General features: G+C 41.4%; 1 protein-coding gene and 2 pseudogenes across 2 annotated transcripts in view; 2 read left to right on the top strand and 1 right to left on the bottom strand.

Moving 5' to 3' along the window:
* Nucleotides 1–27,548, bottom strand: part of TOP6BL (TOP6B like initiator of meiotic double strand breaks) — a 98,748-nt gene that overhangs the window by 62,628 nt on the left and 8,572 nt on the right. The window contains exons 3-4 of one of the 2 annotated variants that reach the window (NM_024650.4): nt 24,384–24,536; nt 21,793–21,846 (exon numbers count right to left, since the gene is read on the bottom strand). In NM_024650.4, the coding sequence (NP_078926.4) occupies nt 21,793–21,846; nt 24,384–24,536 (207 nt within the window). The remainder of the gene's footprint in view (nt 1–21,792; nt 21,847–24,383; nt 24,537–27,548) is intronic. The other variant, NM_001302084.2, reaches the window with a different exon arrangement.
* On the top strand, nt 9,019–9,440 carry FTLP6 (ferritin light chain pseudogene 6; annotated as a pseudogene).
* Nucleotides 18,433–19,486, top strand: C1QBPP2 (complement C1q binding protein pseudogene 2; annotated as a pseudogene).

Below are 27,548 nucleotides of genomic sequence, written 5' to 3'. Positions count from 1 at the left end.
AGGCCAGGTCCACGCGCGGTGGCTCATGCCTATAATCCCAGCACTTTGGGAGGCCAAAGTAGGTGGATCGCTTGAGGCCAGGAGTTCATGACCAGCCTGGTCAACATGGAAAAACCCTGTCTCTACTAAAAATCAAAAAATTAGCCAGGTGTGGTGGCACATGTCTGTAATCCCAGTGCTACTCAGGAGGCTGAAGCACAAGAATCACTTGAACCCAGGAGGCAGAGGTTGCAGTGAGCCAAGATCACGCCACTGCACTCCGGCCTGGGTGAGAGAGTGAGACTCTGTCTCCAAAAAAATAAAATAAAATAAATAAATAAAAACAATAAAGCGCAGAAGACAATTGACAACATCTTTCAAAATGTTGAAAAGGAGAAAACTATCAAGCCAGATATTCCAGTGCAATATCCTTTAAAAATGAGGTTAAGGTAAAGGCATTTTAAGATAGAAGATGAAATAATCTGCTGCTAGAAGATTTGCTAAAGGATTTTCTTCAGGCTGAAGATGGAAACCCAGCTATAAAGGAAGAAATGAAGAGCACCAGAAATCATAAATAAGTGAATATAAAAGACTATTTTTTTCCTTGAATTTTTCTTGACAGCTAGCTTTTCAGAGCAAAAATAATCTCATAAGGCAGGGAATTATAAGTATTTGAGTATTTAAAAATACTCAAAATTGAGCAAAAAAACACTATTTACCTATTCTTTTGCCAATACCACAGTTTCTTTTTTTTTTATGAAAGTTTTAGGGTACATGTGCACAACGTGCAGGTTTGTTACATATGTATACATGTGCCATGTTGGTGTGTTGCACCCAGTAACTCGCCATTTAACATTAGGTATATCTCCTAATGCTATCCCTCCCCCTCCCCCCACCCCACAACAGGCCCTGGTGTGTGATGTTCCCCTTCCTGTGTCCATGTGTTCTCATTGTTCAATTCCCACCTATGAGTGAGAACATGCGGTGTTTGGTTTTTTGTCCTTGTAAAAGTATGCTGAGAATGATGGTTTCCAGCTTCATCCATGTCCCTACAAACGACATGAACTCATCATTTTTTATGGCTGCATAGTATTCCATGGTATATGTGCCACATTTTCTTAATCCAGTCTATCATTGTTGGACATTTGGGTTGGTTCCAAGTCTTTGCTATTGTGAATAGTGCCGCAGTAAACATACATGTGCGTGTGTCTTTATAGCAGCATGATTTATAATCCTTTGGGTATATACCCAGTAATGGGATGGCGGGGTCAAATGGTATTTCTAGTTCTAGATCTCCGAGGAATCACCACACTGACTTCCACAATGGTTGAACTAGTTTACAGTCCCACCAACAGTGTAAAAGTGTTCCTATTTCTCCACATCCTCTCCAGCACCTGTTGTTTCTTGACTTTTTAATGATCGCCATTCTAACTGGTGTGAGATGGTATCTCATTGTGGTTTTGATTTGCATTTCTCTGATGGCCAGTGATGATGAGCATTTTTTCACGTGTTTTTTTTGGCTGCATAAATGTCTTCTTTTGAGAAGTGTCTGTTCATATCCTTCACCCACTTTTTGATGGGGTTGTTTTTTTCTTGTAAATTTGTTGGAGTTCACTGTAGATTCTGGGTATTAGCCCTTTGTCAGATGAGTAGGTTGCAAAAATTTTCTCCCATTCTGTAGGTTGCCTGTTCACTCTGATGGTTGTTTCTTTTGCTGTGCAGAAGCTCTTTAGTTTAATTAGATCCCATTTGTCAATTTTGGCTTTTGTCGCCATTGCTTTTGGTGTTTTAGACATGAAGTCCTTGCCCATGCCTATGTCCTGAATGGTATTGCCTAGGTTTTCTTCTAGAGTTTTTATGGTTTTAGGTCTAACATGTAAATCTTTAATCCATCTTGAATTAATTTTTGTATAAGGTGTAAGGAAGGGATCCAGTTTCAGCTTTCTACAAATGGCTAGCTAGTTTTCCCAGCACCATTTATTAAATAGGGAATCCTTTCCCCATTGCTTGTTTTTGTCAGGTCTGTCAAAGATCAGATAGTTGTAGATATGCGTCATTATTTCTAAGGGCTCTTTTCTGTTCCATTGGTCTATATCTCTGTTTTGGTACCAGTATCATGCTGTTTTGGTTACTGTAGCCTTGTAGAATAGTTTGAAGTCAGGTAGCGTGATGCCTCCAGCTTTGTTCTTTTGGCTTAAGATTGACTTGGCAATGCGGGTTCTTTTTTGGTTCCATATGAACTTTAAAGTAGTTTTTTCCAATTCTGTGAAGAAAGTCATTGGTAGCTTGATGGGGATGGCATTGAATCTATTAATTACCTTGGGCTAACTACTGTAGCTTTATAAGTCTTGAAGTCAGGTAGTGCCAGTCCCCTGACTTTACTCTTCAATATGGCGTTGGCTATTCTGGGTTTTTCTTTCCATATAAATTTTATATTTTATTTTTGGAGACAGTCTCACTTTGTTGCCCGGGCTAGAGTGCAGTGCTGTGATCGCAGCTCACTGTAGCCTTGACCTCTTGGGCTCAAAAGATCCCCCTGAGTAGCTGGGATAGATGACCTATCTTTCCATAGCCAACTGAGCATCTTGAAACAATGGCATTTTAACAATGAAACTGAAATTCAGGGATTTGTACATCATGGTGTCAAGCTAATGACTTAATTCATCCTAAATTTCATCCTAGAAGTTTGTCCCTAAAGACATGGAGAAGGCTGGGTGCAGTGGCTCAAGTCTGTAATCCCAGCAATTTGGGAGGCTGAGGCAGGAGAATCACTTGAGCCCAGGAGTTTGAGACTGTCTCTTAAAAAAAAAAAAAAAGAAAGAAAAGAAAAAGACACAAAGTTCAGAAAACAGAAAATAGAGGTGGTAAACACTTATTAAAAGGTTCAGAGAAATATAATTAAAACTTTTAACCATCTCATTAACTTGTAAATTAGCTTAAATATTTTAAGTAATTGAAATTCCCAATGCTGGCAAAGTACGGTGAAGTTGGTAACTTTGCTACAAATGTTAGCATTACAAGACACAACTTTTTTTGGGGGGATGGAGTCTTGCTTTGATGCCCAGGTTGGAGTGCAGTGGTGTGATCTTGGCTCACTGCAACCTCCACCTCCCGGATTCAAGTGATTCCCTTGCCTCAGCCTCCCGAGTAGCTGGGACTACAGGCTATTTTTTTGTATTTTTAGTAGAGACGGGGTTTCACCATGTTAGCAGGCTGGTCTTGAACTCCTGACCTCAAGTGATCCACCCATGTCAGCCTCCCAAAGTGCTGGGATCACAGGTATGAGCCACCACGCCTGGCCAACACTTTTTACAAAGCAATTTCAGAGCCATAAAAATGTACACAGACTTTGATCAAGTTAATTCTATCTCATAAAATTAATCCTAAAATTTTCAATATAGTAAAGAGCTATATGCATTAAGATATTCATTCCAGTGATATTAATTAGCACTTATTGAGAACTGTGTATTCAGAATAACCACTGTGCTACATGCATTATACGTATTACTTCACTTAATCCTCAAAACAATTTTATGAGGTAGGTGCTTTCAAAAGATCAAAAACTTGTTCAAGAACACACAGTATAATCTCCTAGACACTAAACTATCCTGCTATTCATAATAATGGGGGAAAAAAAAGAATAAACCTAAATGTCTATTAATAGAAAAATGGCTAATTTATGATACATCTTGATGGATAATTTAGCCATTAAAATAATGACTAGAAGACTATGTCATAACATGAAAAATGCTTATGTTAAGTAAAAAAAGACATAGGACAACATTATAGATATAGATATAGATATATAGATATAGATATATAGATATATATAGATATAGATATATAGATATAGATATATAGATATAGTGATTACAACAGTATTAAAAAAACATGATGGGCATGATTCTGGCTTAGTGTAGCCTCCACCTCTTGGGGCCAAACTATCCTTCTGTCCCAGGCTCCCAAGAAGCTGGGACACTACAGCTGCACACCACCATGCCCAGCTAATTTTTGTATTTTTTTGTAGAGACTGGGTCTTGCCATGCTGCCCAGGCTGGTCTTCTACTACCAGAGTCAAGTGGTCCTCCCGTCTTGGCCTCCCAAAGTGCTGGGATTACTAGCATAAGCCACTGTGCCTGGCCTAGAAAAAGCATTTCAGGAAATACAGCACTCATTCATAACAAACACGCTGGCAAATTAGGAATAGAAAATAATTTCCTAAACTTAACAGGAGCAGGTATAAAAACTATTGCAAATATACTTAATAATGGACTTTTTTTTCTTCTAAGAGATGGGGACTTGCTATGTTGACCAGGCTGGTCTCGAACTCTTGGCCTCAAATGATCCTCCAATCTTGACCTCCCAAAGTGCTGGGATTACAGGCATGAGCCACTGCTCCCGGCCAGTGGTAGACTTTTAAATAATCCTTCCTTGTTTAATTTCCTTGTTTAAGGAAAGCAAGACAGATGCCTAATATTACCCCTGCTATTCTATTTAATACTAGTACTATTCTATTCAATACAATATGACAAGGAAAAGAAGTAAGCCATATGCCAGGCGTGATGGCTCATGCCTGTAGTTCCAGCACTTTGGGAGGCCGAGGCAGGCAGATCACTTGAGGTCAGGAGTTCAAGACCAGGCTGGCCAACATGGTAGAATCCCATCTCTACTAAAAATACACAAGTTACCCAGGCATGGTGGTGCATGCCTGTAGTCTCAGCTACTCAGGAGGCTGAGGTAAGAGAATCACTTGAACCCGGGAGGTGGAGGTTGCAGTGAGCCGAGATCACGCCACTGCACTCCAGCCTGGGTGACAGAGTGAGACTCTGTCTCAAAAAAAAAAAGAAGCCATATAAGGATTGAAAAGGAAAAGATGGAGTTGTCATAATTTAGAGATGCTTTGAGTGCCCATATAGAGGATCCAAAAGAATCCACAGATAAATTATCCAAATTAATAAGGGATGAATTCAGTAGGGTTGAAAAAAATGAATATCATTCATAATAGCAACAAAAACTATAAGACTATAGAAATAAATATAGCAAAAGATATCTAAGACCATTATGAAAAGAATTTTAAAGTGTTAACATAAAAGATCTAAATAGGAATGCCATCAGCAAGATGGCGGGATAGGAAGCCCCAGGTCCTCGTTTCCCCCACAGAAAAACCAACTCAACAGCAATATCAAATTATCTTTTGTGAGAACTCCAGAAGCCAGTTAAGAGGTTGCAGAACCATAAGTGAACTCAAAGCCAACAAGAGCCACATCTAAGCAAGACCTGGGCTAAAGGAGTACCCCCTCATCTGAGACATCCTAGCCTCATGGCAAAGGAAAAGAAGCTACCAGCAAAATACACATAGACTCTTAAAGCTTCTCCTGGAAGGCGACACATGTCACTTCCACTCACATTTCATTGGCCCTGGCAAGTTACATGACCCAGCCTTATACTCATAGGGCAAAAAATATAAATCTCCCAGGAGAAGAGCAGGCAATATTTTGAACAAATAATAACACCTGGCAAAATGGTCTCTAAAGTCAGGCAGACTTTGGCTTATAGCCATTTGCTCTTGGTCGAGCCCCTTATTCTCCCTTATAGTGCCTATCTCTTAAAAGTGTGACAACTAAAATTAAATAACATTTTTAAAAGAAAAATCTAAATAAATGACAAGATATATCATCTCACAAAAACAATGCTAAAAATGTTCATTGCCACCAACTTAATCTATAATTCCATTTAATAGCAATGAAAATCACAACAAGATTTTTTTGTGGAGCTTTTTTTTTTTTTTTTTTTTTTTGAGACAGAGTCTCACTCTGTCACCCAGGCAGGAGTGCAGTGGTGCGATCTCAGCTCACTGCAACCTCTGCCTCCTGGGTTCAAGTGGGTCTCTCACTTCAGCTTCCGGAGTAGCTGGGACTACAGGCGCCCGCCACCATGCCTGGCTAATTTTTGCATTTTGAGTAGAGACAGGGTTTCACCATGTTGGCCAGGCTGGTCACTAACTCCCACCTCCGGTAATCTGCCAGCCTTGGCCTCCCAAAGTGCTGGGATTACAGGCGTGAGCCACCATGTCCAGCCTGGAACTTAACTAATTATAAAACTCATAGCCAAGAGTAAAGGTTTTAAAAACCAAAGACAAGGTCAGGCGCGGTGACTCACGCCTGTAATCCCAGCACTTTGGGAGGCAAAGGCGGGCGGATCACGAGGTCAGGAGATCGAGACCATCCTGGCTAACACAGTGAAACCCTGTCTCTACTAAAAATACAAAAGAAACAAAAAAACAAAAAAATTAGCCAGGCGTGGTGGCGGGCGCCTGTAGTCCCAGTTACTCGGGAGGCTGAGATAGGAGAATGGCGTGAACCCAGGAGGCGGAGCTTGCAGTGAGCCGAGATTGTGCCACTGCACTCCAGCCTGGGTGACACAGCGAGACTTTGTCAAAAGCACAAAACAAAACAAAACAAAGAAACACCAAAGACGATTCTGAAAAAGAAAAACAAGGAGGAGAGATTTGCCCTATCATATAGCAAGATTTATTCTAAAGCTTTAGGAAATAAAACTCTACAATACTGGCCCAGGCACAGAGATAAAGACTAGATTACCCAGAAACAGACCCAAGCATATATAGAATCTTAGTATATGACAGAATAATAATATAAATTACTGGGTAAAGTACTATTCAATAATAAACTGAGTTGGGACAAGTAGCAATCTGTTTGGAAAAGGATTTAAATTAGATTCCTAACTTACATCATAAATAAAATAAAAATAAACTCCATTAAAGTCAGCTGGTTAGCAAAGCAAAACAAAAATAAACTCCAGATTCACTAGATGTAATAATAAATATAAATTTAAAACTTTAGCACTATTAAAGAAATTATATAGGCTGGGCATGGTGGCTCACACCTAGAATCCCAGCACTTTAGGAGGCCAAGGCTGGTGGATCACCTGAGGTCAGGAGTTTGAGACCAGCCTGGCCAACATGGTGTCTCTACTAAAAATACAAAAATTAGCTGGGCTTGGTGGTGGGGGCCTGTAATCCCAGCTACTCGGGAGGCTGAGGCAGGAGAATCGCTTGAACCTGGGAGGCAGAGGTTGCAGTGAGCTGAGATCACTCCACTGCACTCCAGCCTGAGCAACAGAGCGAGACTCTGTCTCAAAAAAAAGAAAAAAGAAATTACATAAAATGTCATTATGACTTTAGCGTAGAACTGTCTCTAATCAATGATTGCAGCTTTCACTTTATAAAACTAGAAACAGAAGAGCAAGTAAGACCCCAAACGAGCAAAAGAAAGAATAAAAGATCAGAGTGTAAATGAATGAAATAGAACAACAGGAAGAACCTGGTTCTAGCCAGACTGATCAAGGAAAATAAAAGAGAAGATATAAATAACCAACACCAGGGAGTAAGAAAGAGGATATTGCTAGAGATTCTACAAACATTAGAAAGATAATAAGGAAAATTATGAACAATTTTATGTCAATAACCCAATAACTTAGATAAAATGGACAAATTCCTTGACACAAATTACCCATGCTCACTCAGGAAAAAAAAAAAAGGCCAGGTGCAGTGGTACGTGCCTATAATCCCAGCACTTTAGGAGGCTGAGGCAAGAGGATCGCTTGAGCCCAGGAGTTCCAGACCAGCCTGGGCAACACAGTGAGACCCTGTCTCTACAAAAAATACAAACCAGGTGTGGTGGTGCAGGCCTATAGTCCTGAATCTGAGGCAAGAGGATCGCTTGAGCCAGGGAGGTCAAAGCTGCAATGAGCTGAGATCGCCCCACCATACTCCAGCCTGGGCGACAGAGACCATGTCTCAAAGAGAGAGAGAGAGAGAGACTGTATAATTATTAAAGAAATTGAATTTGTAGTTAAAATATTTCCTAGGAAGGAAAAAATCAGGCCCAGATGGCTTCCTTGATGATTTGCACCAAATATTTAAGGAAGAAATTGTACCAAATATTTAAGGAAGAAATAATATCTTCTACAAACTCTTCTAGGCAATTGAAGAACAGAGAATATGTCCAAAGTCATTCTATGAGGCCAGTATTACTTGTACCAAAAAAAGACAAAGACATTACAAGAAAAGAAAATTACACATATCCTTTGTGAACATAGATGCAAAAATTCTTAATAAAATTATGGCAAATCAAATCTAACAATACAGGCTGGAGTGCAGTGGCATGATCTCAGCTCACTGCAACCTCCACCTTCCAGGTTCAGCTGATTCTGCTGCCTTAGCCTTTGGAGTAGCTGGGAAGAAAGGCACGCACCACCACACCCAGCTAATTTTTGTATTTTTTAGTAGAGACGGGGTTTCGCCATGTTGGCGAGGCTGGTCTCGAATTCCTGACTTCAGATGATCTGCCCGCCTCAGCCTCCCAAAGTGCTGAGATTACAGGCATGAGCCACGGTGCCCGGCCAAGATTTTTATTTTTTGAGATAGGGTCTTGCTCTGTCTCCGAGGCTGGAGTGCAGTGGCAAAATTATAGCTCACTGCACCCTACAACTCCTGGTTTCAATCACTCCTTCTGCTTCAGCCTCCTGAGTAGCTAGGACTATAGGCATGCAGCACCATGCCCAATTAACTTTTAGAAATGTTTTGTAGATATGGGGCCTTGCTATGTTTCCCAGGCTAGTTTAGCAAGCTTGAAAAATATATAAACATCAATTGTATTTCAAATACTAGCAAGAAACAGTTGGAAAATGAAATTCTTAAAAAAATACCACTTACTGGCCGGGCCACATTTACAGTTAACTCTTCCACTTAAGTACTGAACCCCTCAAAGTCATCCATAAGGGTTGGAATCAATTTCTTCCAAACTCCTGTTAACGTTGATGTTTTGACCTCCTCCTATGAATGACGAATGCTCTTAATGGCATCTAGAATGGTGACTCCTTTCCAGAAGGTTTTTAATTGACTCTACTCACTATCTATGGCAGCTATAGTCTTATAAAATGTATTTCCTAAATAATAAGCCTTAAAAGTTGAAATTACTTCTTGAACCATGAGCTGTTCATGGATGTTCTGGCAGTGCATTTGACAGTCCCACCCATCTGTCTCTTGCTTCAATAGTATTTGGATGGAACAAACCCAGGGACTCCCTCTCTTCCAGCCTCCAACTGCCCTCCACTGTCCTCTCCACTTGCAACCTCCAGGACCATCTTCTCGGCCATCTCCTGCTTCTGAGACCAGCCAACACTGTTTTTGTGGTTAGCTCCTTCTTGCCAACTAGACTCATCAGAATTATTTCATCGAGTTGGAGGCAGCTGTCAATCGCCTGGTCAATTTGTATCTGTAGGCCTCCTACATCTCTCTCATTCTGGGCTTCTATTTTGACCACAATGATGTGGCACTGGAAGGCACTGGCCACTTCTTCCACAAATTGGCTGAGAAGTGTAAGGGTGCAGAGGATCTCTTGAAGTTGCAAAGCCAGCATGGCAGCCACATTCTATTGCAGTAGAGACGGGGTTTCACCATGTTAGCCAGGATGGTCTCAATCTCCTGACCTCATGATCCGCCCACCTTGGCCTTCCAAAGTGCTGGGATTACAGGCGTGAGCCACCACGCCCAGCCTCAAATTTAAATTTCTTAAAAAGAAATTGGAATGGCTGAGGATGGTGGCTCATGCCTGTAATCCCAGCACTTTGGGAGGCCGAGGTGGGAGGATTGCTTGAGCCTAAGAGTTCAAGACCAGCTTGGGCAACATAGCAAGACCTCATCTCTAAAAAAAAAAAAAGAAAAAAAGAAATCCAGAAGAAGTGCCATTTGGATAACCTCAACCTTTTCAGAAAAATAGAAGGTAAAGACATTTATTGAGTGTCAGGTAATTTGAAATATACACTATGAGAATTATATAAAAGAATAAACAAGATAAGAGTACTGAACAACCCCAAGAAGTTAGAAATTCTCCTTAAATTTATAGCGTACCCAACATTCAGTTTTATGATTTACACAAGTAACACTTGGCAGCTTGGAAATAAGAATGAAAAAATAATAATAATGGTGATTACCCAAGCCTGGAGACTGATAAGAAAGAAAAAGTAGAAAGTCAAGGCAGCAGGGGATTATACTATGCTAAGTGGCCAACGATGGGTAAGGAGGCCAGAAGGGGTGTCAGGAAAGAGAAGAGGGAAGTAAAGGGGAAGATGGAGTTTAAAAAACTTCAATTTCATATTACCACTGGTGTGTGGAGCATTTGTTTTGAGATAGAGTCTGGCTCTGTCACCCAGGCTGGAGTGCAGTGGTGTGATCTCAGCTCACTGTAACCTCCACCTTCTGAGTTCAAGCCATTCTCCTGGGTCAGCCTCCCAAGTAGCTGGGATTACAGGCACCGGCCACCACGCCTAGCTAATTTTTGTATTTTTAGTAGAGATGAGGGTTCACTATGTTGGCCAGGCTTGTCTCCAACTCCTGACCTCAGGTGATCCTCCCACCTCAGCCTCCCAAAGCGCTGGTATTACAGGCATGAGCCACCGTGCCTGGCCTCATTATGTTTTTGACTTGCATTTTTCCCTAATGACTAATGATGCTGAGCATCTATCTTTTCATGGGTTTACTGGCCATGTGTGTATCTTTTTAGGATAAATGTTGTCTTAGTCCACTCAAGCCGCCATAACAAGAGACCATAAACTAGGTAGCTTAAACAAGAGAAATTTATTTCTCACAATTCTGAAGGCTGGGAAGGCCAAGATCAAGGTGCCAGTTGATTTGGTTCCTGATGAGGGCTCTCTTCCTGGCTTTCAGATAGCTGCCTTCTCATTGTGCCCTCACATGGCCTTTCCTTGGTGGATACAAGGGAGGGAGAGGGAAAAAGAGAATAATCTCTCTCTCCCTTCCTCTTCTTATAAAACTGCTAATCTCAGGCCAGCCGTGGTGGCTCACGCCTGTAATCCCAGCACTTTGGGAGGCCGAGGCAGGCGGATCACAAGGTCAGGAGTTTGAGACCATCCTGGCTAACACAGTGAAACCCCATTTCTACTAAAAATACAAAAAAAAAAATTAGCCGGGCGTGGTGGTGGGCGCCTGTAGTCCCAGCTACTCGGGAGGCTGAGGCAGGAGAATGGCATGAACCCGGGAGGTGGAGCTTGCAGTGAGCCAAGATTGCACCACTGCACTCCAGCCTGGGCGACAGAGTGAGACTCTGTCTCAAAAAATAAAAATTAAAAAATAAGTAAATAAATAAATAAATAAATAAATAAAACTGCTAATCTCATGAAGGCCCAACCCTCATGATCTAATCTAACCCCACTTACCTCCCAAAGGCCCCATCTCCAAATACTATCACACTGGGGGTTGGGGCTTTACCATATGAATTTTGCTATTTGTCCTTTAATTGTTGTTGTATAAGTTCTATATGTACACTGGATACTAGACTTTTCTTATCTGTGGATTATTTATTCACCTTTTTTTTCTGAGTTTTGGAACTAGAGACCTTCATTTTCCAGCTTTTTTTTTTTTAGGTATAATTGATCTTTTCACTTTCTTAGTATCATCTTTTGAAGCATAAGAGTTTTTAATATTGATTAAATCCAATTTCTCTACTTTTCCTTTCGTTGCTTGTGCTTTAAATGTCATATCCAAGAAAACATTGCCTAATCCAAGGTCATGAAGATTTAAACCTTTCTTTCTTTTCTAAGAGTTTTATAGCTTTAGTTCTTTGATCCATTTTGAGGTAATTTTTCTATGTGATGTCATCTGACCATTTTTCAGAATGTATTAAATGGCTAGCCATAAAGTCTACTCAAGAAAAAATACAGTATCCCCTCTTCCCATTCCAGCCAAATTCCACTATACCACTATAGGGAGACAACTCTCCTTGTGTTCCCAGCTGAGAAGATGAAAGATGTGTGGTAACCCAGAAGGACAGAGTTGGAACAGTAAGTGCCCAGCTGATTACTCAATGAGGAATTGTAACAGTTCAAGCATTTTAAGCCAGCCAGGTACAAGGCAGGTTAGCTCTCATGGGCTGCTGAATAAAAGCAGTTATGTACCACTCAGCCAGAGAATGAGCCAGCTCCCAGGATCTCTAATAATAAGAGCTATCCTTTTCCTCCTGTTTTATCTATCCAAGTTCAAAAGGAAAAGGAATATGTCAGGGTTGGTAAAAACCACTTCTGTCCTTTCCATCCCCTTCTGTCACATCAAATCTTGAACATGTTCTCAATAGTGAAGTGCAATTAGATAAATGTAACAAGGAAAAGAGTAAAGAAATATTAAGGAAGCAAAAAAAAAAAAAAACAAAAAACAAAAATCTGTTTTAGCGTGTCTTGATCTTCAGCCAACCTTTATAAAATCTTACCAAGCGTTAGGTAAATTTGGCAACAACAGCCTGTTTAGAATGTATCAAAAGCTTAAAATTAAGTGTAGTCTCTCACAGTTTAATGGATAACCAGCAACCTATGAGTCTACAAATGTTTCCCTTCTTAGTATATGAGGCTAAGTCTCAGTTTTCTCATCTCTGAAACAGAGATGATGATAACACTTATGTCTGACTGCTCCTCAAGAATGAATGAGATCATGTCTACAAAATGAGCTCCCGGGGGAAAAAGCGTTAGATAAATTCTGAGCCTTAGAGTTGTTGATTTTGTAAGATATAAAATTATAATAGATTTTTATTCTTGAATACAAGAATCTCAGACTTAAAAAAAAAAAACTTGATTACGTCAGACATTCAAGAGTTCACCATTGTGAGTTTCTTACTCAATGTTGAGCAAGTCTGGACCTGTCAATCTCTCTAACCCATGAAAAGCACCACTCCTCACTTTCTTTCCCAACAAATTAACAAAGAGGACAAAAGTAAACTTGAAAATAAACAGGCTGGGCATGAAGGCTCACACTTGTAATCCTTACACTTTGAGAGGCCAAGGTGGGAGGATCGCTTGAGCCCAGGAGTTTAAAACCAGCTTGGGCAACATGGTGAGATCTCATCTCTACAAAAAATAAAATAACTAGCTGGGCATGGTGGTACACACCTGTGGTCCCAGTTACTCAGAAGGCTATAAATGGGAGGATCCCTTGAGCCCAAGAGGTCAAGGCTGCAATGAGCTGTGGTCATGCCACTGCACTTCAGCCTGGGAAACAGAGCAAGACCCTGCCTCCAAAAAACAAAACAATGAACAACAAAAAAGTCTCCCTGACACCAAAAGGGTAGCATATAGGGAAGAGGCAAAAACTGAACTATCATAGCCATGTAACCATATATCAACAGCAAAGCAGTCCTCCCTGTTTACAAGGACTGGTATTCTTATCTAGTCTTATGAAGAAAAAAGAAGGCTGTAAATTTTATTTGGGAAAAACACTTGCACATCTTTTTAAAATAACTGGCCATACTGTATAAAGAGCTAAGTTATGTCAATAAACATGGAAATGAGAAGCTATTTTAAAAAGACAAAAATAAAAATAATATGAATAGAAGAAAGAGGAAAAAGCAGCAAAATAAAGATCTATAAACATGGATTTTTTTCATATTCCTCCATCCACTTTCCTTTCCTCACTTGAATAAGGACATAATAGGAAGCAGAGCTGAGCAAATAGGACAAACTGAAACAATCATGTTTCACTAAAAGACATTTATGATAGAAATAGTTCTATATAAATGGATAAGTATACACATAAATGAATATATAAATGGAATTATACCTAAGTAGATAAGTATTCAATGCAGACAGTAGCACACATTTAACATGTAGTGACAATTTTTTAAACACATAAGAACTTATCTATCTTAATGGGCATTATTCTGCAAAGTAGAGGGGATTATCCTCTTGAGAGAAGGCCTTAACTCTGGTCTGAAGTACTTAGACCTAATATAATAATAAATAAGGAATCATTAAGGGAAGAATGTAAGCTATGTTTAAATTAATAAGAATTTTATATTATAAAGGCAGAATTAACGAAAAATCAATTACATAATGAGGAAACAAAAAAGGAGAAACCCCACCATAAAAACCAAGATTTTTAACGCTGGAGAATTATGAGTATGTCAATATCACTGAAAGGAATGCAGACATTACACAATAAGTTCATTTCAAGAAACTGAACCCCATGTTAGACATGTTACACAGGATATTTCAGAGGAACTCTCAAATGGAATAGTCTAATTGACATTCAAAGCTATTCCATTGGAGTTTAGGAGACATGTCAGTGATCAAGAGGGGGAAAAATAAGTCTCATCAGCATAGTTAATGTTAGTTAAAGTCTTGAAAGTAGAAAAGCTGTCTGAATTGAATGTAGAATAATGATGCAGAATAATGAAGGGAAGAAAAGCACATTGGTGACTGAACTTTGGGGAATATCCTCTGGGTTATGAGAGAAGCTCTTTCAACTTACACCTCCATTACAGTACTAATCACACTGCATTTTATTTGCAGAGCTGCCTCTACTTCCTGTGACTTCTTTGTGGCAAGGTAGATGTTACAATAAAAGTTTACTGAATAAAAGTATAAATAGTTAGGGACCAGAGAAGAAAGGGGAAAAAAGAGAAAATAAACCAGTAGAGAAGTAGGTGAGTAGGGAGATTACAATGGTCATTGCTTATTAATCCAGCATAAATAAAATACACAGAAATATGAGCCTATTTGGTACAGGAATTGATCTAAAGTATTCCAGATCCAGAGAAAAAAGTACCTTGATACAACCCTGGTAGAACAGATTGAAGAGTAAAGGAAACTAAAGCTGATAGTTCTTCAACAGTTCAGCTCCCCTAAAGAAGGGTCAGACCACTTGTTTTAGACACTGAGAGAAATCAGCCAAATAATGAAGAAAACAACAGAGTTAAACTGAATTTACAGACATATTAACTTTGTATAGATACACAATTTTTTAGCATCTAGAAAACTGATGAGTAATGAATCCAGCTGCCAGAGACTCCCTGATGAAGCTAACTAAACAGTGTAAAGATCAGTAAATGGACCAATTTAAAGCAGTTTGCTATTAGCTTAATAGTGTCAGAAATTCTAAATAATAATAGTAAAAAAGGCATAATTAATGGTGCATAAACCAGGGAGCTAAGGGATTCCTGTCTTATTCTTCACCAATTTCCTTTGTGAGGTTCACTGAGTAATTTTTGTTACTAATTAGTAAGAATAACTAGGCCAGGCACAGTGGCTTACGCCTGTAATCCCAGCACTTTGGGAGGCCGAGGCGGGTGGATCACCTGAGGTTAGGAGTTCGAGACAGGCCTGGCCAACATGGTGAAATCCCATCTCTACTAAAAATATAAAAATTAGCTGGCCGTGGTGGCAGGCGCTTGTAATCCCAGCTACTTGGGAGGCTGAGGCAGGAGAATTTCTTGAACCTAGGAGGCAGAGGTTGCAGTGAGCCAAGATCACGCCACTGCACTCCAGCCTGGGTGACAAGAGTGAGACTCCATCTCAAAAACAAACAAACAAACAAAAAGAATAACTAGCATTATTGAGTGGAGGTTAATATTAAGAGCCCTAACAACTGGAGAGAAGACTTAGGCTACAGTTGGCTACTAAATGTGATTGAGCATGAGCAAATGATTCAATTTTAATTATGTACTTGATGTGCAGTACTTCCTCTTTGTACGAAGAGTTAGCCACTCACACTTTATCACAATAAGGATTAAATGAAATTGCTTTGAGTTTTTAAAGTAACAGTTAAATTAAAACTAAGTCACCATGACAAAAATTGTCTAGAGTTTGTATTGGCATGAGTATGTGGTTATTCCATAAATGATAACCCATAAATGATACTCCCTAAGAGTAACAATGATAATAAAACTATTCTCTTGTAGTTACACGGCTTTTCACTTTTTTCAAAGCACTTTCACAAATATTAGTCAAACAAGTAGCCTTATATATGATCTGACCACTCCTTGTACAAGCACATTAAGTGTGGGTTTATTTTGCAAGGAATGCTCCTATCTCCTCCCTAGTGCTAATAATATACTCCATTTATATAGCTTTTTTTTTTTGGAGACAAGATCTCACTCTGTCACCAAGGCTGTAGTGCAGTGGCGCAATCACAGCTCACTGCAGACTTGACCTCCTGGGCTCAAATGGATCTCCTGCCTCAGCCCCCTAGTAGCTGGGACCCCAGGCACACCTAGCTGATTTTCACATGCCTGGCTGATTTTTGTATTTTTTGTAGAGATGGGGTTTCATCATGCTGCCCAAGGCTCGAGCAATCTGCCTACCTCAGTCTCCCACAGTGCTGGGATTTTAGTCAGAGCCACCATGCTTGGCCAGATTTTCACTTCTTTATTTTTTTTTTTTTTGGAGATGGAGTCTCGCATTGTCGCCCGAGCTGGAGTGCAGTGGCATGATCTCAGCTTACTGCAACCTCCGCCTCCCAGGTTCAAGCGATTCTCCTGCCTCAGCCTCCCAAGTAGCTGGGGTTACAGGTGCCCACTACCACCCCCAGCTAATTTTTTTTTTTTTTTTTTTGTATTTTTAGTAGAGACAGGGTTTCACTATGTTGACCAGGCTGGTTTAAACTCCTGACCTTGTGATCCGCCCGCCTAGGCCTCCCAAAGTGCTGGGATTACAGGTGTGAGCCACCGCGCCCGGCCGATTTTCACTTCTTTCAAAGCAATTTCACAGACATTAACAGGAGCAGGGCCACTAGGAATGATCTTTCCCTTCTCTGCATCAACCCAAAGACAATAATTCAAAAATGAACAAGGAAAAACTTATAAATAATTAGATGTTTTTGAAGCAGTCAGCCCATGATTCTTGAACTTGGATTCAGATCTCCCAAAAGTCTCAGAATCAGAGCAAACTCTTCAGGACAATAGCTGATATTCCCTTTTTTCTAGGCATAGGCTTAAAGAGGCAATAGAATAATTAAGGTATCTTCACTAGGGGTATAAAGGGAGAAACCAAATCTGTCTTGTTCACTACTATAACTACCTTTAAGTGGAGCACAAGGCCTAATGCATAGTAAATGCTCAATAAATTATCATTGTGATTAATACTAAAGGGAGAACATTCTTACCAAATGCTCACAGAATGTTCTGGAGCTAAAATAAAAATCTTGGCTGGGCAGGGTGGCTCACACTTGTAATCCCTACGTTTTGGGAGGCTGTTGCATGAGAGCTTGAGACCAACCAGAAGTTTGAGACCAGCCAGGGCAACAAAGTGAGATCCCATCTTTAGAAAAAATTTAAAAAGTAACTGGGCATGGAGGTGTGCACATGTGACCCTAGCTACTCAAGAGGCTGAGGCTGGAGGATGGCTCAAGTCCAGGAGCTTGGGGCTGCAGTGAGCCATGATCACACCATTGCACCCCAGTCTGGGTGACAGAGCAAGGCCCTGTCTCAAAAATAATAATAGGACAGGTGCAGTGACTCATGCCTGTAATCCCAGCATTTTGGGAGGCCGAGGTGGGAGGACTGCTTGAGCCCAGGAGTTCAGGACCAGCCTGGGCAACATAGTGAGACCTCATCTCTAATAATAATAATAATAATAATGTTTAAAATCTCATTTTTTATTACTTTTCCTCCACAATTAGTTTTTAAATGTGCTCAAAATAAAACAAAAAACATTAATGTGCTCACACCAAGTAGAACCTAAACAAAATTAGGGTCACAGAGCAAAAGCCGAAGTCTGTAAAATATCCAAGGATACAGACAGTTGGAAGGTAGATTCAGAGGGCCAAGACAATTTACAAAGGAAAAGGGGAATACATCTGATCACTTCATTTAGCAACAAGCATTTTTAAGTCCTCATTCTTTTTTATTTTAAAAACAGTCTTACTCTGTCACCCAGGCTGGAGCACAGTGGCATGATCATAGCTCACTGCAGCCTCAAATGCCTGGGCACAGGCAATTCTGCCTCAGCCTCCTGAGTAGCTGGGACTACAGGTATGCCCCACCATGCCTGGCTAATTTTCTTTATTTGTAGAGATGGGGGTCTCAATATATTGCCCAGGCTAGTCTCTAACTACTGGGCTCAAGCGATTCTTCCATCTTGTCCTCCCGAAGTGCTGGTATTATAGGTGTGAGACACTTCAGCTGGCCTGTCTCCATTCTTCAACTAAAAATTACTTCAGAAAAGAAGTTTCAAAAGGTAGAATTGTTTCCTATATATTTGTGTCTTTAGAGTATTCATCTTGTAACTGAGTTGTAAAAATAGTTTGTTTTCTTTGATATGACCAAGATAAAGAAAGGTATTGGCCGGGCGCGGTGGCTCACGCCTGTAATCCCAGCACTTTGGCAGGCCGAGGCAGGCGGATCACGAGATCAGGAGTTCGAGGCCAGCCTGACCAACATGGTGAAACCCCGTCTCTACTAAAAATGCAAAAAATAGCTGGGCGTGGTGGTGCGCACCTGTAATACCAGCTACTCAGGAGGTTGAGGCCGGAGAATCGCTTGAACCCAGGAGGCGGAAGGTTGCAGTGAACCAAGATCTCGCCCCTGCTCTCTAGCCTGGGCGACAGAGCGAGACTCCGTCTCAAAGAAACAAACAAACAAAAAAGGGTACTCTGGGTACCTAGGCCTGGGTTGTCCTTTGCATCCGCACATGTTCGCAGTCCTCTCCGCCATGCTGCCACTGCTGCGCTGAGTGCCCCATATGCTGGGCTTCTGCGTCGCCGGCTTCCACACCCCCGGGGCCCGCCCCGCCTTTCCGGCAGCTCCTGGCCGGCGCCCCGGCTGTGCGCCCGCCCTTCAGGCTGCTCAGTTTGCGCGCGTGTTCTGCGGCCGGGCCCCCTGCGGCCTCGCGGGCCCTGCACCTCCGGCTGTGGGTGTGGCGTGCGAAGGAGACAAAGCTTTGATTGATTTCCTGAGTGATGAAATTCAGGAGGAAAGGAAAATCCAGAAGCATAAAACCCTTCCTAAGATGTCTGGAGTTTGGGAGCTGGAACTGAATGGGACAGAAGCTAAATTAGTGCGGAAAGTTGCTGGGGGGAAAAAATCACTGTCACTTTCAATATTAACAACAGCATCCCACCAACATTTGATGGTGAGGAGGAACCCTCGCAAGGGCAGAAGGTTGAAGACCCTGAATTGATATCAACTCCCCATTTCGTGGTTGAAGCTATAAAGAATGATGGCAAGAAGGCCCTTGTGCTGGACTGTCATTATCCAGAGGATGAAGCTGGACAAGAAGAGGAGGCTGAGTGACATCTTCTCTATCAGGGAAGTTAGCTTTTGGTCCACCAGCGAGTTTGAATGGAAGGATACTAACTATACACTCAACACAGATTCCCTGGACTGGGCCTTATATGACCACCTAATGGATTTCCTTGCGGACCAAGGGGTGGACAACATTTTTGCAGATGAGTTGGTGGAGCTTCGCACAGCCCCGGAGCACCAGGCGTACATTACTTTTCTTGAAGACCTCAAAAGTTTTGTCAAGAGCCAGTAGAGCAGACAGACACTGAAAGCCATAGTTTTATGGCAGGCTTTGGCCAGTGAACAAATCCTACTATGAAGCTAGACATGTGCTTTGAAATGATTATCATCCTAATATCATGGGGAAAAAATACCAAATTTAAATTCTATGTTTTGCACCCTCATTTATTATCATTTTTTTCTTTTTTCCTTTTTATCTTTTTTTCTTTTTTTTTGAGACGGAGTCTCTCGCTCTGTCGCCCAGGCTGTTGTGCAGTGGCGCAATCTCGGCTCACTGCAAGCTCCGCCTCCCGGGTTCACCCCATTCTCCTGCCTCAGCCTCTGGAGTAGCTGGGACTACAGGCGCCCGCCACCACGCCCGGCTAATTTTTAGTATTTTTAGTAGAGACGGGGTTTCACCGTGTTAGCCAGGATGGTCTCGATCTCCTGACCTCGTGATCCGCCCACTTCAGCCTCCCAAAGTGCTGGGATTACAGGCGTGAGCCACCGCGCCCGGCCTATCGTTGTTTTCTATACAAATCTATTATTTCTAGATTTTTGTATAACATGATAGACAATAAAATGGGTTTATCTCCTCCAAAAAAAAAAAAAAAGGTGCTTTAAGTAATAATTGAGTTGCTATAAATTTGGGTATAAATTCAAATTTTAATTGATTTGCATTTTACAAAGCACGAAGAAAATTTGTCATTAAAAAATGGTAATACATTTCATAAACATTTATTTTATAACATTATACCTTTCCAATGTAGCTTTTTGGTTGTTCCCTTTTTTTGTTTGTTTGTTTGTGACCAAGTCTTGCTGTCACCCAGGCTGGAGTGCAGTGGTGTGTGATCACGGCTTACTACAGCCTTTACCTCCCAGGCTCAAGCAATCTTCCCACCTCAGTCTCCTAAGTAGCTGGGAGTACAGGTGTGCACCACCTTCCCTGGCTAATTTTTTTTTTTTTTTTTTTTTTTTTTTTTGTAAAGATGGGGTCTCGTGATGGTGCTAGGCTGGTCTTGAACTCCAAAAAGTTCTACTGGATCAAGCAATCCGCCTGCCTTGGCCTCCTAAAGTGCTGGGATTACAGGCATGAGCCACTGTGCCTGGCCAGTTGTTGCCATTTTAATACACAGTATGTTTTCTTTTTTTTTTTTTGAGACAGAGTCTCTCACTCTGTCACCCAGGCTGGAGTGCAATGGTATGATCTTGGCTCACTGCAGCCTCTGCCTCCTGGGTTCAAGGGATTCTCCTGCCTCAGCCCCACCAAGTAGCTAGGACTATAGATAGGTATGCACCACCATGCCTGGCTAATTTTTGTATTTTTAGTAGAGATGGGGATTCACCATGTTGACCAGTCTTGAACTCCTGACCTAGGTAATCTGCCTGCCTTGGCCTCCCAAAGTGCTGGGATTACAGGCATGAGCCACTGGGCCTGGCTACAGTATATTTTCTTAAAGCAAGGACAGATATAAGCTTTTAAAAATCTATTAATATTCCAGATTTAGTCTGGGAAAGTTTATTTTTAAAAGTTATTTTGTAAAATTTGTAAATTAACAATTCATTAGGAAAAAATAGGCCAATGGATAATACTTATGTAGCAAACAACCATAAGAAATAAAAATGAAAGCGTAAGAGTTCTAAGGTCATTTTGGCTTCCTTAAAATAAATGTTATGGCCTTTGGCTTGTAGAGTATTCTTAAGTCCAAAAAAATAAAAAGAAATTCTGCCAGGCATGGTGGCTCACACCTGTAATCCAGCATTTTGGGAGGCCGAGGCAGGCAGATTGCCTGAGCTCAGAAGTTCGAGACCAGCATGGCAACACGGTGAAACCCCATCTCTACTAAGATACAAAAAATTAGCTGGGTGTGGCAGCATGCAACTGTAGTCCCAGCTACTCGGAAGGCTGAGGCAGGAGAATTGCTTGAACCCAGGAGGCAGAGGTTGCAGTGAGCCAAGATCGCACCACTGCACTCCAGCCTGGGTGACAGAGTGAGACTCCGTCTCAATAAATAAATAAATAAATTCTTAAAACTAAGGTCAGCAAAAACTCCTAAACCGTACCAACTCTGGCATATAATGTGGAAAACATTATTACTGCTAGCCAATCATTTACAGTAAAAGCATTCTCCACACATTATTTCTTTGAAGTAGATAGAAACAAATACCTACTAAAATTTTTATTTTACATCTGGGAAAATTTTGCCTAAAGTTGTATACAGAGTATACAGAAAAGCTACAGTGATCTAGGTATCTTGTCAATTCTATACAGTTTTATATTAATAGATCATCTTTTAATCAGAAGCCAGATAAAATGTAGGATAAAGTACTGCATGAGACATACTTATGTTAAAAAAATTATTATTTATCTGAAATTCAAATTTAAGTGGGCATCCTGTATTTTTATTTATAAATCTGTCAGCTCTTTCTTTCATTATAAATTTGTTTCAGAAAATATCAAATTAATTGTCGGGAAGATATTCAGTCTCATGGAAGTTAGGTAATTCTTTACCTTTTAGGAACTTCTTGAGGACCATGCCACCAAAAAGGCTTCCTGCAGAAGCAACTGTAAGAAACAGAATACAAAGAAATATCACAAATAAGTAAATGCATTCTATTGAAAGAATCAAATGAGAGTCTAAAAAACTGCTTACAGACACAGAACATTTAAAAAGTGACCACTACTAATGAGTTTGGTAAAAATGGAAACATCAAAGAAATACTATAATGGTACAATGACTGTTTTGAGGAAAAATAACTTCTTAGAGATAACCGAATAGCAAGTATTTTCACCTATATTCAACATCCACCCACAATCAACACCAGGACTGCCTCTTTGGATGATACTCTACTTGACAGAAAAAGATTATGTGAAGACTGCAAATTGCAGCTAGTAATCAGAATATATCGTGTCAATAACTCATATCCTAATATACGAGTCAATTCAAACTTTGGCTCTTCTTCTAACCAATTTTACCCTTAAATAGAAAATACCGGCCGGGTGCGGTGGCTCACGCCTGCAATCCCAGCACTTTGGGAAGCCGAGGTGGGCGGATCACAAGGTCAGGAGCTCGAGACCATCCTGGCTAACACGGTGAAACCCCGTCTCTACTAAAAAAAATACAAAAAATTATCCAGGCGTGGTGGCGGGTGCCTGCAGTCCCAGCTACTCAGGAGGCTGAGGCAGGGGAATGGCGTGAACCCAGGAGGCGGAGCTTGCAGTGAGCTGAGATTGCGCCACTGCACTCCAGCCTGGGCGACAGAGCGAGACTCCGTCTCAAAAAAAAAAAAAAAAAAAAAAAAAAAGAAAAAGAAAATACCAGTATCAGGTAAGAATTCTCTTACCTAGAGTTCTAACTATAAATATTAGAAATTTTAGAGCAATAATTATTCAGGGTAGACAGTGAATAAGGAAGCAGGCACCAACGAGGGGACAAAAAGATCAGAACTACCTAGAGGCTTTTTATTTTCAAATTGAATATGCCCTTCCCCAGAGAAACATGACCTCATAGTTCAGAATCTAAGAATCATTGCCATAGGAACCAATAGAAATATATCTATCCCTCAGAAAATGTGCATCTTTCAGACAGGGAAATAAGGTTGAGAATCACGGAACTAGAGTGAGAGGCAACATCATTCTGTAAACTGCTGTTCAGTACAGCAGCCAGAAACTACATGTGGCTATTTACATTTAGCTAAATTAAATTAGAAATTTAGTTCCAGCCGGGTATGGTGGCTCACGCCTGTAATCCCAGCACTTTGAGAAGCTGAGGTGGGTGGATCACCTGAGGTCAGGAGTTCGAGACCAGCCTGGCCAACATGGTGAAATCCCATCTCTACTAAAAATAACAAAAATTAGCTGAGCGTGGTGGCAGGCGCCTGTAATCCCAGCTACTTGGGAGACTGAGGCAGGAGAATCACCTGAACCCAGGAGGCAGAGGTTGCAGTAAGCCGAGATTGCACCATTGCACTCTAGCCTGGGCAACAAGAGCGAAACTCTGTCTCAAAAAAAAAATTTTAGTTCCTCAGTCACATTAGCCACATTTCAAGCACTCCATAGTCACATGTGGCGAATGACTAGTCTGCTAAACAGGAGACAGAGAACATTTCCATCATCACAAAGAAGTTTTATTGGATAGTAATACTCTAGATTTCCAGATTTTAAGTGATTCTGGATAAATGATACACACTTCCAAAGGCCTAAGCCCAAGCAGCACAGAACATTTAACAACAGATAGTCTTTTTCATTATTATTTTATTTTATTTTTCACTGAGACAGAGTCTGTCGCCCAGGCTGGAGTGAAGTGGCACAATCTCAGCTCACTGCAACCTCCACATCCCAGGTTCATGCAATTCTCCTGCCTCAGCCTCCTGGGTAGCTGGGATTATAGACATACGCCACCGCGCCCGACTAATTTTTGTATTTTTAGTAGAGACGAAGTTTCACTATGTTGGGCGGGCTGGTCTCGAACTCCTGACCTCAAGCAATCCACCCGCCTCAGCCTCCCAAAGTGCTGGGATTACAGGTATGAGCCACAGTGCCTGCACCCGCCCCCACCCCCCACCGCCGCCTCCGCCCTTTATAAAGACCATCTTATGGCCAGGCATGGTGGTTCACACCTGTAATCCCAGCACTTTGGGAGGCTGAGGTGGGTAGATATTTTGAGCTCAGGAATTCAAGACCAGCCTGGGTAATATCACAAAACCCCATCTCCACAAAAAATACAAAAATTAGCAGGTCATGATGGCACACACCTGTAGTCCAGCTATTCAGGAGGCTGAGGTGGGAAGATCAGCTGAGCCCAGGAAACAGAGGTTGTAGTGAGCCGTGATGGCACCACTGCACTCCACCCTTGGCAACACAGAGCAAGACCCCATCTCAGAAAAAAATTTTGTTTACATTGTTTTAAAAAGATAATCTTCTGTTCTATAGAGGGGATTTGGGGGAATGCTTGCTTTAAAATATGTATTTTACAGATAAGTCTCTACTGTCATCTTTGCATCTGGAGGATAGAATTTTATCGTTTTTATATAAAAGCATTGGAAATATAACTGAAAATTGAGGGCTGGATAGGATGTGGAGCAGGTGGAAGCACTCCTCACCCATAATTAGCCAGGCATGGTGGTGGGCATCTGTAATCCCAGCTACTCGGGGGACTGAGGCATGAGAATCACTTGAACCTGGGAGGTGGAGGTTGCAGTGAGCCGAGACTGCGCCACTGCACTCCGGCCTGGGTAACAGAGTGAGACTCCATCCTGAGAAAAAAAAAAGGGGGGAAAAGGGGGTTAACTGTATGTAGCATTTCCCAAACAGTATGTTTCATAGTCCACACTGGCACATGAGAGGTCCTGAACAGACCTATAGTTTAAAAACTTATTTTAACTAACATTTCCCAAATTTAAATGACTACATAACTCCTTTCTTATAACTCATATAAATATTCTGTGGCATACATTTTGGGAAACATCATGAAAATCATATTTGTTAAAGCCTTCAATAATTACTGATGGAAAAAACTAATTATCTCTTGGCTTCTGATAGATGAATCATCTCAGATATCAAATTTGCTAGTCTGTTGTGGGTTGAACTATGTCCCCCAAAAGATAGTTTTAAGTACTAGCCCCAGTGTATATGACCTTATTTGGAAATAGATGCCAGCAAGTTAAGACAAGGTCATACTGGATTAGGGTGTTCCTGAGTCCATTGACTGGTGTACTTATAAGAAGGCCATGTGAAGAAAGAGAGAAATACAGAGGAGAATGCCATGTGAAGGCAGGGAGTGATACACCTACAATCTAAGAAATACCAAGGATTGTCAGCAATCACCAGAAGCTAGGAGAGAGGCATGGAACAGATTTCTGAGTCTCCAGAGCAAACCAACCATACCAAGACCTTGATTTTGGACTTCTAGCCTCCAGAACTGTGAGAAAATAAATATATTTTGTTTCAAGCCATCCAGTTTGTGGTACTTTGTTACAGCAGCCCTAGAGAGCAGAGATTTCAAACCAAATTTAAAAGATACCACTGCACACTTCCAGGTAAAGACAGCCGATTGAACACACACGTTTATTTTCATTCCCTCCTGAAACCTCAATAAAATAATAGAAAAGAGATTTATAAGGGCACAAACCCACAAGGATGGAAAACAAGAGACAAACATGATTGTAATAAAAATCTAGACACTACAGGCTAGGCACAGTGGCTCATGCCTGTAATCCCAGCACTTTGGGAGACCAAGGCAGGTGGATCACCTGAGGTTAGGAGTTCGACACCAGCCTGGCCAACATAGTGAAACCCCGTTTCTACTAAAAATACAAAAATTAGCCAGGCATGGTGGCACACACCTGTAGGCCCAGCTACTCAGGAGGCTGAGGCAGGAGAACCTCTTGAACCCAGGAGGCGGAGGTTGAAGTGAGCTGATATCACACCACTGCACCTCCAGCCTGGGCAACAGAGTGAGACTCTATATCAAAAAAAAAAAAAAAATCTAGAAACTACAAAGCAGAACGACTAGTAGGAAAGGATTTAGGAGACCTGAGTAATCTAAGTATAAGGGGACAGGGAAGGCCAAGAAACAACCTGATTTATATAATAAAATTGCAAAACACTCAGGCATGGCAGTATCAGGAACCTCTGAATGTATGGGTGAGGTAGAAGATAAATTAAGGAGAGTCTGTTGAAAAATGAATTTAAATAAATCTTTAGATTCCCTCCTCCACTCAGCATTCAAGGGACTGGCTCCTCCCTAACTTTGGTGTGGATTGGGGAGAAGATACTTGAAAATGGTCAAGGTGTCAATCTTTGGGACGAGAATCAAAATTGTACTAAAAACAAGTGGAGTTAGTGAACAGAACCCCTGAATGCTGAGATACCCAATACCCCCTTTTCTCTCTCATTCCCAGAATCAAGTCTGGCTTTTACCCACTTGGTAAGAGACTGAAAGATCTGGTCATTCCAAGAGCAAAGACCTAAAGATATTGATATTGAAGAGAAGAGAAAGTTCCCCAGTTAAAAGCCCAATTAGATCACCTTTTAGTGATGCTAAAATTTCAAATCAGCTTTATAGTCTCTAACTCTTAAAAATGAGCAACCAGTAATTTTAAGATATTTGAAGAAAGCTTCTAACATGAAAACAGACACCAGACTAAGAAAAGCAATACAAGGGAAACAAGAACGAGGTGGAGAAAAGAAAACTTTAAAAAAATCTTTATATACTCAAAAAGATAATGCCTAGAAAGTAGAAGAGATAAAAATTATGAGAGAAACGATTTTAAAAAGGAAAAAGAACCAGTCTAGGAAGTCTAATATCTAAATAATAGAAGTTGCAGAAAGGGGGGAAAGAAAAGAGAGAATGCAAGGGAAAATCTCCCAGAACCAAAGAACAAGGGTTTCCAGGTTTAAAAGTCTTGCTGAGTGCTGAGCACAATGTTTGAAAACACACCCACACCCAGGTGCATCATTGTGACAATGGAGACCACAGCAGAGACTGCTGGTGCTCGCAAACAAATACCCCATTCTCCTTCTTCCTGAACACATAATCTGACTACGTTTTTCAGTCTTCCTTGCAACTGCAGGGCTGTGGCAATAAGACTAAGTCCTGGTTGGCCAGGCGTGGTGGCTCATGCCTGTAATCCCAGCACTTTGGGAGGCTGAGCTGGGCGTATCACCTGATGTCAGGAGTTCGAGACCAGCCTAGCCAACATGGTGAAACTCTGTCTCTACTAAAAATATAAAAATTAGCTGGGTGTGGTGGCAGACACCTGTAATCCCAGCTACTGAGGAGGCTGAGGCAGGAGAATCACTTGAACCTGGGAGGTGGAGGTTGCAGTGAGCCGAGATCATGCCACTGCATTCCAGCCTGGGCAACAGAATGAGACTCTGTCTTAAAAAACATAAAAACATGGCCGGGCGCGGTGGCTCACGCCTGTAATGCCAGCACTTTGGGAGGCCAAGGCAGGTGGATCACGAGGTCAGGAGATAGAGACCATCCTGGCTAACACGGTGAAAACCCGTCTCTACTAAAAATACAAAAAATTAGCCGGGCGTGGTGGCAGGCACCTATAGTCCCAGCTACTCGGGAGGCTGAGGCAGGAGAATGGCGTGAACCCAGGGGGTGGAGCTTGCAGTGAGCAGAGATCATGCCACTGCACTCCAGCCTGGGTGACAGAGTGAGACTCTGTCTCAAAAAAAAAAAAAAAAAAGACTAAGTCCTGGCCAATAGAACGTGAGCAGCAGTAACATACCAATTCCCGAGCCTACCCCATAAA

This window comes from Homo sapiens, chromosome 11 (genome assembly GCF_000001405.40).
Source record: "Homo sapiens chromosome 11, GRCh38.p14 Primary Assembly".
NCBI lineage: Eukaryota > Metazoa > Chordata > Mammalia > Primates > Hominidae > Homo > Homo sapiens.
The sequence above is the reverse complement of the archived record's forward strand: the minus strand, read 5'-3'. Positions and strand labels throughout refer to the sequence as shown.